This window comes from Homo sapiens, chromosome 7 (genome assembly GCF_000001405.40).
Source record: "Homo sapiens chromosome 7, GRCh38.p14 Primary Assembly".
NCBI classification, from domain to species: Eukaryota; Metazoa; Chordata; class Mammalia; order Primates; family Hominidae; genus Homo; species Homo sapiens.
The window spans coordinates 21,799,276-21,812,636 of NC_000007.14; the positions used below are offsets into that span (position 1 = coordinate 21,799,276).

The window sequence follows — 13,361 nt, forward strand, 5'->3', positions numbered from 1 at the left end:
GGTAAAACTATAAGTACTCTTAATAACCCAGAATAGACCTGTAATATTTTTACTTCAATCTTATTTCTTTTTTTTTTTTAAGACGGAGTCTTGCTCTTGTTTCCCAGACTGGAGTGCAATGGCATGATCTCCATTCACTGCAACTTCTGCCTTCCAGGTTCAAGCAATTCTCCTGCCTCAGCCTCCCGAGTAGCTGGGATTACAGGCACCCGCCACCACGCCCGGCTAATTTTTGTATTTTTAGTAGAGACAAGGTTTCGCCATGTTGGCCAGGCTGGTCTTGAACTCCTGACCTCGTGATCTGCCTGCCTCAGCCTCCCAAAGTGCTGGGATTACAGGCATGACCCACCGCACCCGGCCATATTTCAATCTTATTTCTAACTGGTGATGTATAATATCTCCATCAATTCTCATAAAGTTAATGCTATTTTGCATATTAATCTTAAATTTGATGTATATACATATTTGTGTATATATACATATTGCTTTAGCAATATAAAGTAATGGTGAAATAACTGGGTCATCGACAAATATAGTCTGTCTCTAAATTATTAATAGATTATATTCTGTAAGTTTTCTTGTTAAAGTTTCTTGGAACTTTGCATGCATCTACAAAAGCAATGCTATAAATCTTATTAGGTTTCTTGGAACTTAATATGCTAGCAAGATACCATAGTGAGGAGTCTCACAAGCATTTGACAACTTAGTCAAGACTTTTTGTCTATAAGTTATATGAGCTCATTCAAAATACCTTAGTCAAAAAAGGCACAAAGACAAACTCATGGACAAAAGGTGACCAGGGGACCCAAGAGATCCAGGAAACAAGAAGCTGCCATGAACTTCTCTTGGAGTCTCTAGGGCTGTGTGACTTCTCATCTTGCTTCTCTTTTACATCCCTTTCGTCCTTCTCTCTTTCTCCACAATGGTTTTCTCTGGTTTTTTCTGTGCCCCAGTGGAAGGTGTTCCCTCTTTAAACGCAGCCCTGTGATTCACACATCCTCCCAGGTCTTTCAATGCTAAAGACAATGGATTATCTCTGAGTTTCAGTCCCTACGTCCAGAAGAGAAAAATATGGGTCAGGCACAGTGGCTCATGCCTGTAATCCCAGCACTTGGGGAGGCCAAGGTGGGTGGATCACTTGAGACCAGGAGTTCAAGACCAGCCCGGCCAACATGGCGAAACCTCATCTCCACTAAATCTACAAAAATTAGCCGGGTGTGGTGGTGCACACCTGTAATCCCAGCTACTCGGGAGACTGAGGCGCAGGAATCACTTGAACCTGGGGGACAGAGGTTGCAGTGAGCTGAGATTGCACCATCGCATCCAGCCTGAGCAACAGAGCAATACTCATTCCAAAAAAAATGAAAAAGAAAAATCCGATTGGCGAAGCTGGGTCTAAAGGGCTCAGTAATTAACACCCCTCTTCACTGCCTGAACTATGAACCCAAAGAGAAAAGAATCCGTGGGTGGAGAAACCAAACAAGTCACTGTTGTCTTTAATAAAGCTGGTTGGAGGATGAGGCTTGGGTGCAAGAGCAGAGGGGGATGATAGTGCACCCACGGCGTATTTGCATCTTCAGCGCACATCCATTCACCCCAGTCGCTCCCTGCATTCTGCCCAGTGGAGGCAGAAGGGGAGAGAAGACCACATCGTGAACTGTTAGTTCATGGTGGCACTGATGTGTTTATTTCATTATATCCTTCTTTTCCTTCTTCCCTAAAATACGTATGGTAAAGGGGCAAAGGTTAATGGGGGGAAGAGGTTTGTCCATTTACCTTACAGTAACAGATGTTTTAAGATGATGGTAATCTCTCTGTTTTAACTAAAAATGACTCAAAAGTTAATTCAACTCTGATTCAGGATCTGGATCGAAATCTGAGCAGACTCACGGCTTCATTTGAAAAAGCAACAGCTGAGAAAGTCCGGTGTCAAGAAGAGGTGAACCAAACCAACAAAACCATCAAATTAGCTAACAGACTTGTCAAGGAACTTGAGGCAAGTTAAACCTTTTCTTCCAAACATTCTAACTAAAATGTTCAGATCAGCTTGTGGGGATTTTATTATTTGCCATCAATAATAACTAAATAGACATGGAATTAACAACAAAGGATAATATTTGATAATCACTCATCCTGTGGCTCTAACTCACCAGAAGGAAGAAATGTTCAAGTACATATCTTTTAATTTATAGTCCTGAACTCAATGTGCCATCAGTCTGATCTCCAACGAAAACAGGGAAGACATATACTTTATCAGAATTTAGTGGTCTTGTATCCACTTTAAGACAATGGAGTACATCAGCTGTGGGTGGGTTATGTACTTATTTTTTCTACTTTCTCTCTTCCTTTCTTTCTTACCACATTGTGAAATCCTTTAAAAACAAAAATAAAGCATGTTTTTCTTAAAACAAGTTATAAAACTCAGGATGGCTGCTAGATAATTATGAAATTGAACTGTTTGTTGTCTGATCCTTTTAATATACATTTGCCATTGAATTCTACCAGCAAATGATTTCTTTCAAGTTAAACCTGGTTGGTTTATGTTTTTGTTGTTACATCTTTTTATGGGTGACTGACATGCTAATGTTAATAGTTATTCCATTAGATAAAGGTTTTTTATAATTCTTATTGACATTCTCTTGCTTGAACATGAGTGGTAGAGGAACATACGTTCTTTGATATCAGTATTCACAGATTTTATTTGCTCCACAACGTGGCATTTAACAGTTCTGGGGAAATCACTGAACGTCTTCAACTTTGTTTTCTTGTATCTAAAACAGGGATGTGGATAACGTTTCCCTTACAAGGTTGTGATGATTCTCAAAAGACATAATGTACGTTCAAGTATTTCCTAACAAAAGTCAAAGAGATAAATAACCAAATTTTAAAATAAGAAAAGAATTTGAATAGACATTTCTCCATAAAAGATATGCAGATAGCCAGTAAGCACCTGAAAAGATGCTCAACTCCATTAGTCGTTAGAGAAATGCAAATTAAAACCACAACAAGATACCACTTCATAACCACCAGGATGACTATAATAAAAAATATGGACAGTAATAGTATTGGCAAACGCTATGGGGAAATGCTGGTTGGAATGTAAAATTGTTCTGCGTCTTTGGAAAACAGTTCTGCAGTTCCTCAAAACGTTAAACATAAAGTTACCACATGATACAATCATCTACTCATAGGTATATACCCTAAAGAAAAGAAAATAAATGTCCATTAAAAAGCTCATATGCAATGTTCATAGCAGCATTATTCATAATAGCTAAGAATAGAAACAACCCACATGTCCCTTAATTGATAAATGGATAAATAAAATGTATATCCATATAATGTTAATAGCATTCATCTATAAAAATGAATACTGAGTCATGCTACAATGTATGAATCTTGAAAATATCATGCTAAAAGAAAGAAGCCAGACACAAAAGGCCACATATCACATGGTATGTGATATCATGTGATACACAGGCAGAATGTGCCTGTGTATGAAATGTCCAGAACAGGATAATTTATAGACGCAAAATAGACTAATGGTTGCCAGGGGCTGGACAAGGGTGTGGGGTTTGGGGAGTGACTACTACTGGATACATGGTTTCTCTTTGGGGTGAGAGAAATGTACTAAAGTTAGCTAGAGGAGATAATTGTGCAAGTCTATATATATATAATATATATATATAATGTAGTAAAAAACACTGCTGTATATTTTAATGGGTGAATTTCATGGTATGTGAATTATATCTCAATAAAGCAGTTACTTTTTAAAGTATAAAGTCTGTAACTACACTATTAGAAAGCATATAACATATATATCTAAAAAGTAATAAAATGTGTAACTAAAAAGTGTATAATTGCATTATTAGAAATGCCTTTAGCTGACAAGCATAGAACTGCACTAAAATATGTAACTGCACTATTAGAAATGCATTTGGCTGGAGGTGATAGAAAACTTTTACAGTGGCTCAAACAAATGGGAGCTTATTTTTCACATATTACAAAAAATGCTAAGGCTGGACCATTATCAGTGTTGATCCTGGTGATTAGTGATCAGCCACCTAGGCTCTTTGTTGCCCTCTGCCTCTCCACGCTCAGCAAGTGGACATTCACCCTCATGCATTTTGCCTCATGGTCTCAAGATGTCTGCTACACCTTCAGATTCAAAGAGACAGTAGAGAAAGGGAACAATCTGTATCAGCTGGGGTTTTCTCCTTTTATGAGAAAAGCTGATGTTTTTCTGGAAATGTCTCTGACAGACTCCCACTTAAGTTTCTTTAGTCAGAACTAGATAAACTGCTAACTCCACCCCACACCTCCTGCCCAAAAAAAAAAAAAAGTCTGGAAAAGTGGGGAATGGGGCTATCATCATTGAAGTCTGGAAAAGTGGGGAATGGGGCTATCATCATTGAAGTCTGGAAAAGTGGGGAATGGGGCTGTCATCATTGAAGTCTGGAAAAGTGGACAATGGGGCTGTCATCATTGAAGTCTGGAAAAGTGGGGAATGGGGCTGTCATCATTGAAGTCTGGAAAAGTGGGGAATGGGGCTGTCATCATTGAAGTCTGGAAAAGTGGGGAATGGGGCTATCATCATTGAAGTCTGGAAAAGTGGGGAATGGGGCTATCATCATTGAAGTCTGGAAAAGTGGGGAATGGGGCTGTCATCATTGGCTTAGCAAGCCACCGTTCATCTCATGGGACTGGGCACACGACCATCCTATTCAGATTCAGGGTTCTCTTAGCAAGAAACGAGGGGGTACGTGTTTCGGGATGGCTAGGTGATAGCCTCATTTCTTGTAGTAGTTTTTTTTGTTTTGTTTTGTTTTGTTTTGTTTTGTTTTGTTTTGTTTTGAGACGGAGTCTTGCTCTGTTGCCCAGGCTGGAGTGCAGTGGCACCATCTCGGCTCACTGCAAGCTCCGCCTCCCGGGTTCACGCCATTCTCCTGCCTCAGCCTCCCGAGTACCTGGGACTACAGGTGCCCGCCACCACATCCGGCTAATTTTTTTGTATTTTTATTAGAGACGGGGTTTCACCGTGTTAGCCAGGATGGTCTCGATCTCTTGACCTCGTGATCCACCCGCCTCAGCCTCCCAAAGTGCTGGGATTACAGGCATGAGCCACCGTGCCCAGCCTATAGTACATTTTTAAAACCCTAACTTATTACCACAAATTTAACTAATTCACCACAAGTTTAAATACACTATCTCTCTGAAATGCATAGTTCATTATGCAAAAACTCATAATTCACCCTGCAAATCCCCTCTCTCCATTCCATCTCAATAACTGCAATTCTGTTCTTCCAGTTTTTCTGGCCCAAAGCTTTTGAATCACCCTTGACTCTGTGTGACATCAAATCCATCAGATATTCTATTGACCCTGCCTTTCAGGTTCATTCCAAATCCTAGCACTTCTCATTCTCTTCACCTTACCATGCTGGTCCAGGCTGTGGCATCTCTCCCCTAGGGTACCTCTGCAGGCCCCACCATTACCTCCTAAAGCTTATTTCCCTCATTGTAGCTGGGTGATATTTTACAAACTTAAGTACATTCACATCACTCCTTCACTCAGAACTCCCCAATAGCTAATTAATCACTCAAAGTCCAGCCTAAAGGCTTTACTGACCTGCAAGGCCCTACATGATAATCTGTCTCCTGGATACCCCTCTGTCCTCACCTCTGCCACTTCTCTCTTGCCCCATCTTCACTGGCCTTCTGTCTCTCCCTCATACTTCCAGGCACGCTCCTTCTTTGTGCGTTAGCCTTTCCCAGGCAGTCACATCACTGGCTCTTCACTTTGTCAGGCCCTGCTGAAAGTTCTCATTATCAGTTGGTTTTCTCTGACCTCCCTACATAAAAGAGCCTTCATCCAACACACAAGACCCCCACTCGTTCACACGCACACATACATGCACACATATGCATCTCTATTTTCTCCACTTGCTCTGTTAACATTTTTTGATAGCATTTATTGCATGAACGTAGTTGTCCGTGTATGCATACGCACAAATACTTTTTTTGGTCTTTTTTTCCCCAACTGAAATATGAGCTTCGCAAGAACAGGAAACTTCACCATTTTTTGTGGACTGCTTGATCCCAAGCATATAGAATAGTCCTGGCATGTCATAGGCATCACTAGATATTTGCTGAATGAATGAGTTACTAAATGGGTGAGTTTTGGGAGCCTCCTGTATTAAAATTCTGGAGCCTTTTGAAGACTTGCTCTTCTTAGGTGAGTTGAGAAATTTCACCAGTACTAGTACTTAAAACTACTTCCATTTAAAGTAGCAAGATTTAAGCAGTTTGAAGAGTTCTCCATTTGTGAGGTACCTGAGAAAAACTGTTATATAATTAGACTGTTTTCCGGGACTAGTTACAGAATGTCTGAAAGTTTTGTCAAGGGAAAAGTAGGCCCTACCATGTGTGTCTAACATATAGCAATATTTCCAAAGACTTTACTTACTCATGATGATTTAGACAAGGAAGGGAAAAGAAAATTGTATCATGTTAACTAAGGAAAAATATATATTTTTAAAGGATTAATTGAAGATGTCAGATCTTTTTCTTTCAGGATAAATTCTTTCTGACTAGAACAGGAGACAGTTAACTTCTGAAAAACATCAAGACTGATGATTTTGTCTATATCGCATTGACCTGGAAGCTCAGCCATTCAGACTAATAAATCAGGCAATTTATATTTAATCATTAACTAACTCCTGAGCTGAGCAGCTGTTCAAAATTAGAAATGGGTCACCCCAGCCAGGATGACATTACAGGCAATCTATAATGCATTAGAATAAAATTATAGTGATTTTTAACTGTCTTGAAATTTATTACAGGACATGTTCCAACTCTTAAACCCTTGTTAGCCAATGTCAGTAATGATTTATGTTGCATGGATACTATAGCAAAATTATTGACGATTTCGATAGCCAATCAGTCTATGTTTAGTGAATCTTCAAATCTCAAAGCTGTTTTGGAGAATGAGTTGGATACATTTTATTGTTTATCCTTTACAAACCAAAAACAACAAAGATAGAGGGTAGGTGAATGAGAGATTCCTCCTGAAAATTAATGCATATGTTGTCTATGGCTGAGGAACAAAAGTAATAAATTTTATAAAGAGGGCTAGAGAGCTGAAGTTCCTTAGTGTTTAATTATATAGTTAACTTGGGGTGATCTTTAATAAGCAAAGCAGGGAGATGATCTTGAAACCACTTTGATAACCATTTTCACATGCTAATTTCATGACCTCCGACCTCAGGGTTGTAGATATTAAGATAGCTTGCAGGGAACTGGCATTCCAATCCATTCTGACGTCATTTTTGTTTTCTGTGGTCAATCTACTTTCATGGGGAAAGCAAAATTCCATAGGGTGCTTCTTTGCTTGTACTAACAAATTGCTGATTTTTTTTCAGGTTCTATTAATTTGCATGTTCTTAAAATGTATTTTTAGCGTACATTGAAACAAAATAAATTAGTGAACTACCCTGCAGTTCAGTCAATCCATACATATTTATTGCAGTTTTATTCAAATCCAATATTAAGGGCTTCACATACTTAACCTGTAAATCAGATTTTAAATGGCCATCCAACTAGCTATAAGGACTTCAACAGCATTCTTGGGGAGTATTGTGAAGTCCTGATTTCCACCTTTTTATATAGGTCATAGCTTCCTCCACTGATTTAATGATTATATTAGAAAACTAACCTGAGTTTAGTAACTACCAATGCTACTCTTTAATTAGTAGAATCCAGGATAGATGGCTATTTCAGCTTTATGTTTTAACTAATTAAGTAGAGTTGTGTTTGTCATTTCCCTTTGTCTGTAATCAGACCATTGCCAGCATGTTAAAAATAGGTAAGTAAATAAAAAGTTTGACTAGGGCAGTGTAGTGGGAAGAATGGAGAGCAGCCAGGCTGACATTAAAAATCCTGACATCAGGCCAGGTGCGGTGGCTCACGCCTGTAATCCCAGCACTTTAGAAGGCCAAGGCAGGTGGATTGCTTGAGCTCATGAGTTTGAGACCAGCCTGGGCAACATGGTGAAGCCCCGTCTCTACAAAAAATACAAAAATTTGCCAGGCGTGGTGGTGCATGCCTATAGTCCCAGCTACTTGAGAGGCTGAAGTGAGAAGATGGCTTAAGCCCAGGAGGTAAAAGTTGCAATGAGCCAAGATGGTGCTATGGCATTCCAGCACGGGTGATAGAGCCAGACCCTGTCAAATAAATAAATAATCTTAACATCACTCGTTCTTGGCCACAGCTCTTGGTCATCTTCCATTCCCAGAGGGACAGGGGAGAGACTGTCAGCCTTTCAAGAAGGACCTCAATCATAATGGAAGAGTTGGGATGTCCAGTGAGAAGAGATGTTAAAGAACTAATGTCACTTTGTGATAAACTCCACTGAGGAGAGTATGAGAACTCCATCATAATGATGGATTTCAAACACATGAAAGATTATAACAGTCACACCAACCCGTTACACTCTGTTCCTTATAGTGACTGTGTGGAAGGACGTAAACCTTGCCATAAGGTAATTGCATTAAGCATTTGTGGAGTTGACATTCAGCCTGCAATTACAGCTGAGTAATTTCATCTTTCAGTCAGAGAAGATTCGCTGGGGTCAATCCATTAAGTCCTTTGAAGCTCAAGAGAAGACACTCTGTGGAGATGTTCTTCTCACGGCGGCATTTGTGTCTTACGTCGGACCCTTCACAAGGCAGTATCGCCAGGAGCTGGTGCACTGCAAGTGGGTTCCCTTTCTTCAACAGAAGGTAAGTTCAGTTCCTTACCTTGTCAGCAGGTAGAAAGATCACATTGAAATTTCAGTAGTAAAACCCACATATATGCCAGGCGCTTTTGGACGTCTGTAATGAGAACTGACCAGAAATTCCATGGTGAAATTGTTTCTCATGTGCTGCAGTTTTTCTTATTTTTACAAAGTTCATAATAAATATTTCATTATTTTTAAAAATGTTTTTATTGATCTATAATACTCATATATATTTTTGGGGTAATGTGATAGTTTGATACCTGTATACAATGTGTAATGGTCAAGTCAGAGTAAATAAGATATCTATCACCTGAAACATTTATTTTTTCTCTGTGTTAAGAACACTATAATTCTTCCTTTCTAGCTGTTTGAAATATACAATAAATTATTAACTACAGTTTCCCTACTGTGTTATTGAGTACTGGCACTTATTTCTTCTATCTAACTGTAGTTTTGTACCTACTAACCAACTTCTCTGCATCCCCTCTCCTCCACTTCCCTCCCTCTGGTTCTCTGGTAACCATCATTCTACTCTCTACCTCCATAAGATCCACCTTTTTAGCTCCCACATGTAAGAACATACGATATTTATCTTTTTGTGCCTGGTTTATTCCACTTAACATAAAGTCCTCCAGTTCCATTTATGTGGCTGGAAATGACAGGATTTCATTGTTTTTATGGCTGAATAGTATTCCATTGTGCATGTATATCATGTTTTCTTTATCTGCCCATCTGTTGTTGGACACTTAGGTTGATTCCGTGTCTTGGCTATTGTGAATAGTGATGCAGTAAACATAGGAGTGCAGGTACCTCTTTGACATACTGATTTCCTTTCTTTTGGATATATGCTCAGTAGCTAGATTGCTGGATCATATGGTAGTTATTTATTTTTTTTGAGGAACCTCCATACTGTTTTCTGTGGTGACTGTACTAATTTAAATTTCCACCAGCAGTATACAAGCTTTCCCTTTTCTCTACATCCTCACCAGCATTTGATATTTCTGTCTTTTTGATAATAGCCATTCTAACTGAGGTGAAATTATATCTCACTGTGGTTTGGATTTACATTTCCCTGATGACTCGGTGATGTTGAGCATTTTTTCATGTTACCTATTGGCCATTTGTACATCTTCTTCTGAGAAAAATATCTATTCAAGAACTTTGTCCATTTTACGATCAAGTTTTTTGCTTTATTTGCTATTGAGTTGTTTGAGTTCCTTATGTATTCTGGTTATTGATGCCTTGTTGGGTGAATAGTTTGCAAGTATTTTCTTCTGTTCTGTAGATTATCTTTTCACTCTGTTGGTTGTTTCCTTTGCTGAGCAGAAGCCTTTAGCTTGATACGATCCCACTTTTGCATTTGTTTGTGGTCTTAACCAAAAAATCTTTGCCCAGATGTCCTGAAGCATTTTCCCAATTTTTCCTATAGTTGTTTTATAGTTTCAGGTCTTATATTTAAGTCTTTAATCCATTTTGATTTGATTTTTGGTTTTTGTTTTGTTTTTTGTTTGTTTGTTATATTTTGTTTTTTTGAGACGGAGTTTCCCTCTTGTTGCCCAGGCTGGAGTGCAATGGTTCAGTCTCAGCCCACTACAACCTCCGCCCCCGAGGTTCAAGTGATTCTCCTGCCTCAGCCTCCCAAGTAGCTGGGATTACAGGCACCCGCCACCACACCTGGCTAATTTTTTTGTATTTTTAGTAGAGATAGGGTTTTACCATGTTGCCCAGGCTGGTCTCAAACTCCTGACCTCAGGTGATTCACCCGCCTCAGCCTCCCAAAATGCTGGAATTACAGGTGTGAACCACTACACCTGGCCTGATTTGATTTTTGCATATGGTGAAAGATGGAAATAGTTTTTCTTATTTTAGTGATGGTTTCAACAAGAACATAAAAATTAATTATGTAAACTTTAGAGTTATAGTTGGAAAAGTGCTTTAAACAGAAGTGATAACTGAAATCAAACTCAGATCATCATGTTATTGAATAGCATGAAACTTTTTGTTTTCTTACTAATATTATGGGTTATTTGTTAAAGATTTTTAAAAGACTACTTTCAGACTTAAAGTGTAGCATTTTATATGTAAGTATAAAGTAGCTTACCCTAAATTTGAAAATTCAAACCCATAAGCAAAGTGAAGTAATAGATTTGCACGATGTAAAATCATCTAGTTTAAGATACTCCTTGTACAAATGAGAAAACTGAGACAGACAAATGACTCCACTTCTGTCATAGAGAATAGAAAATCAGACCTCCTGATTTCCAGGACTCTATTTTCTATACAACACTGTCATCTCAGTTGATTAAAACAGATTCTTAGTTTATATATCCAGCCCTTTCTGGAGTATGGAGACAAAGATGGACATGGGCACAGATATTATTAGAAAATTGAAGCACTCACACCTGCTGGTCTCCGTTACTTTAGGGAAGTAGGAAAATGCAGTGCAAGCTGGCCAAACCAAAGGAAATTGAAATCAGGAGAACAGTTTTGAGGAGAGTGGTAAAAATATCAAAAATACCTGTGAAGGGCAACAGGGGAGTAGATGGTAAGAGTCGCCACACAGCTTTAAGAAACCCAAGACGTATTTGGACAAGATAAGTTTATAATCACAGTAATAAAGCTTTCATCAGAATACTCAAAGTCTAGGAGTAAAAAGAGAGGAAAGAGAATGCCAAATCTAGCCAGGTTTATAGGCAGGTAAGCCAGAAAGAAAGGAGGTGAGGAAAGTCAAGCAGTGACTAGCAGAAGAGTTAAGAAATGGAAGGAGCATTTTAGGCTGAAAAGAGATGGGAGGTTAGCCAGAAGTTAGTGTTAAAATATGGTAAAGTTTCCCAAAACCTTAAACACAGAATTGCCACATGATCCAGAAATTCTACTTCTCAGTATATACCCCAAAGAAGTAAAAGTAGGAATTCAAACACATGTTTGCTTGCCATTGTTTATAGCAGCACTATTCACATTAGCCAAAAGATGGAAGCGATTCTTGTGTCCATGGACAGAACGGATTTTTAAACATACGGTATAAATACACAACAGAATGTTATTCAGCCTCAAAAATGAAGGAAATTCTGGTATGTGCTACAACATGGATGAACCTTGTCAATATTAGGCTAACTGAAATTAGCCAGTCACAGCTGGACCTGGTGGCTAATGCGTGTAATCCCAGCACTTTGGGAGGCCATGGCGGGCAGATCACTTGAGGTCAGGAGTTCAAGACCAGCCTGGCCAACATGGTGAAACCCCCCCCCCTACTAAAAATTAGCCAGGCGTGGTGGTGGGTGCCTGTAATCCAGGCTATTCAGGAGGCTGAGGCAGGAGAATCGCTTAAACCCAGGAGGCGGAAGTTGCAGTGAGCCGAGATCGCGCCACTGTACTCCAGCCTGGGTGACAGAGTGAGATGCCATCTCAAAAAAAAAAAAATTAAGCCAAAAGGACAAATACTTCAAACTTTACGAGGGACCTAGAGCATTCACATTCACAGAGACAGAAAGTGGAATGGTGGTTACCAGGGGCTGGCAGAGGGAGGAATGGGGAGTTATTGTTTAATAGGTATGTTTCAGTTTGGGAACATGAAAAAGTTCTGGAGCTAGATAATGATGATGGTTGTACAACAATGTGAATGTACTTAATGCCACTTGAACTGTACACTTAGAATGGTTAAAATGACAAATTTTATGTTAAGTATATTTTACCACAGTAAAACTGTAAATAGTAGGGTAAAGTCCTGGTGTCTTAATAGTATTTAGAGTAAGTGTTATGTTTAAAGATGTGAAAGAGATGTAGACAATCATAATCAAAGAGTTGGGTACAGGAATTTTAGGTTTCAATGATGAAATAATTTCAGATTGTTACAAAGCCTGGGACTACATTTCCCATCAAAAAAGGAGGTACTCTAATACCCCTCCAAAGACATATCACCATCATGGGGGGTGGGGATGTGCATATCGGAAGCCAGGGATGGGGGTGTTGTATAATCTTCCCGGGTGATTCTGATATCATCCCCTTCCTCCCCCAATTCCCCCAACTGGAATAGAAAGGAAATACAGTGCTTTAACATGAAAGATGTCAAGGCCAGAGAGTGGAATCATCATCTACATGGGCACTGAGGTTGTCAAGGATTGATAGCAGAACTTGGAAAGGCGAGAAAGACCAATAGCTATATCATTCATAAGATGGGGAAATAGATTGGAGATTGTATATCTGGAGTCCATGGGTCTTAAAGGTGGCATTTTGACTTAAGGATGGAAGAATCATGATTTGGGTTGACTTGCAGGGAAGAAAGAGGAATAGCAACTCTTTCCCACACCCACTTTTCAGTAATGGGATTAAGAAAATGAACTGTCCGCCGGGTGTGGTGGCTCACGTCTCCCAGTGCTTTGGGAGGCCAAGGCAAGAGGATCTCTTGAGGCCAGGAGTTTGATACCAGCCTGGGCTACACAGTGAGACACTATCTATATGAAAAAAAAATTTTTTTTAAACCCAGCCAGGTGTGGTGGCAAAGAGGCTGAGGAGGGAGGATCACTTGAGCTCAGGAGTTAGAGGTTACAGCAAGCTATGATGGCACCACTGAACTCCAGGCTGGGTGACA

General features: G+C 39.4%; 1 protein-coding gene across 1 annotated transcript in view; it reads left to right on the top strand.

Annotated features, from left to right (window-relative positions):
• The window catches only part of DNAH11 (dynein axonemal heavy chain 11), a 358,801-nt gene that overhangs the window by 256,237 nt on the left and 89,203 nt on the right, over positions 1-13,361 (top strand). The window contains exons 62-63 of the mRNA NM_001277115.2: positions 1,862-2,000; positions 8,608-8,774. Coding sequence (NP_001264044.1) covers positions 1,862-2,000; positions 8,608-8,774 — 306 coding nt within the window. The remainder of the gene's footprint in view (positions 1-1,861; positions 2,001-8,607; positions 8,775-13,361) is intronic.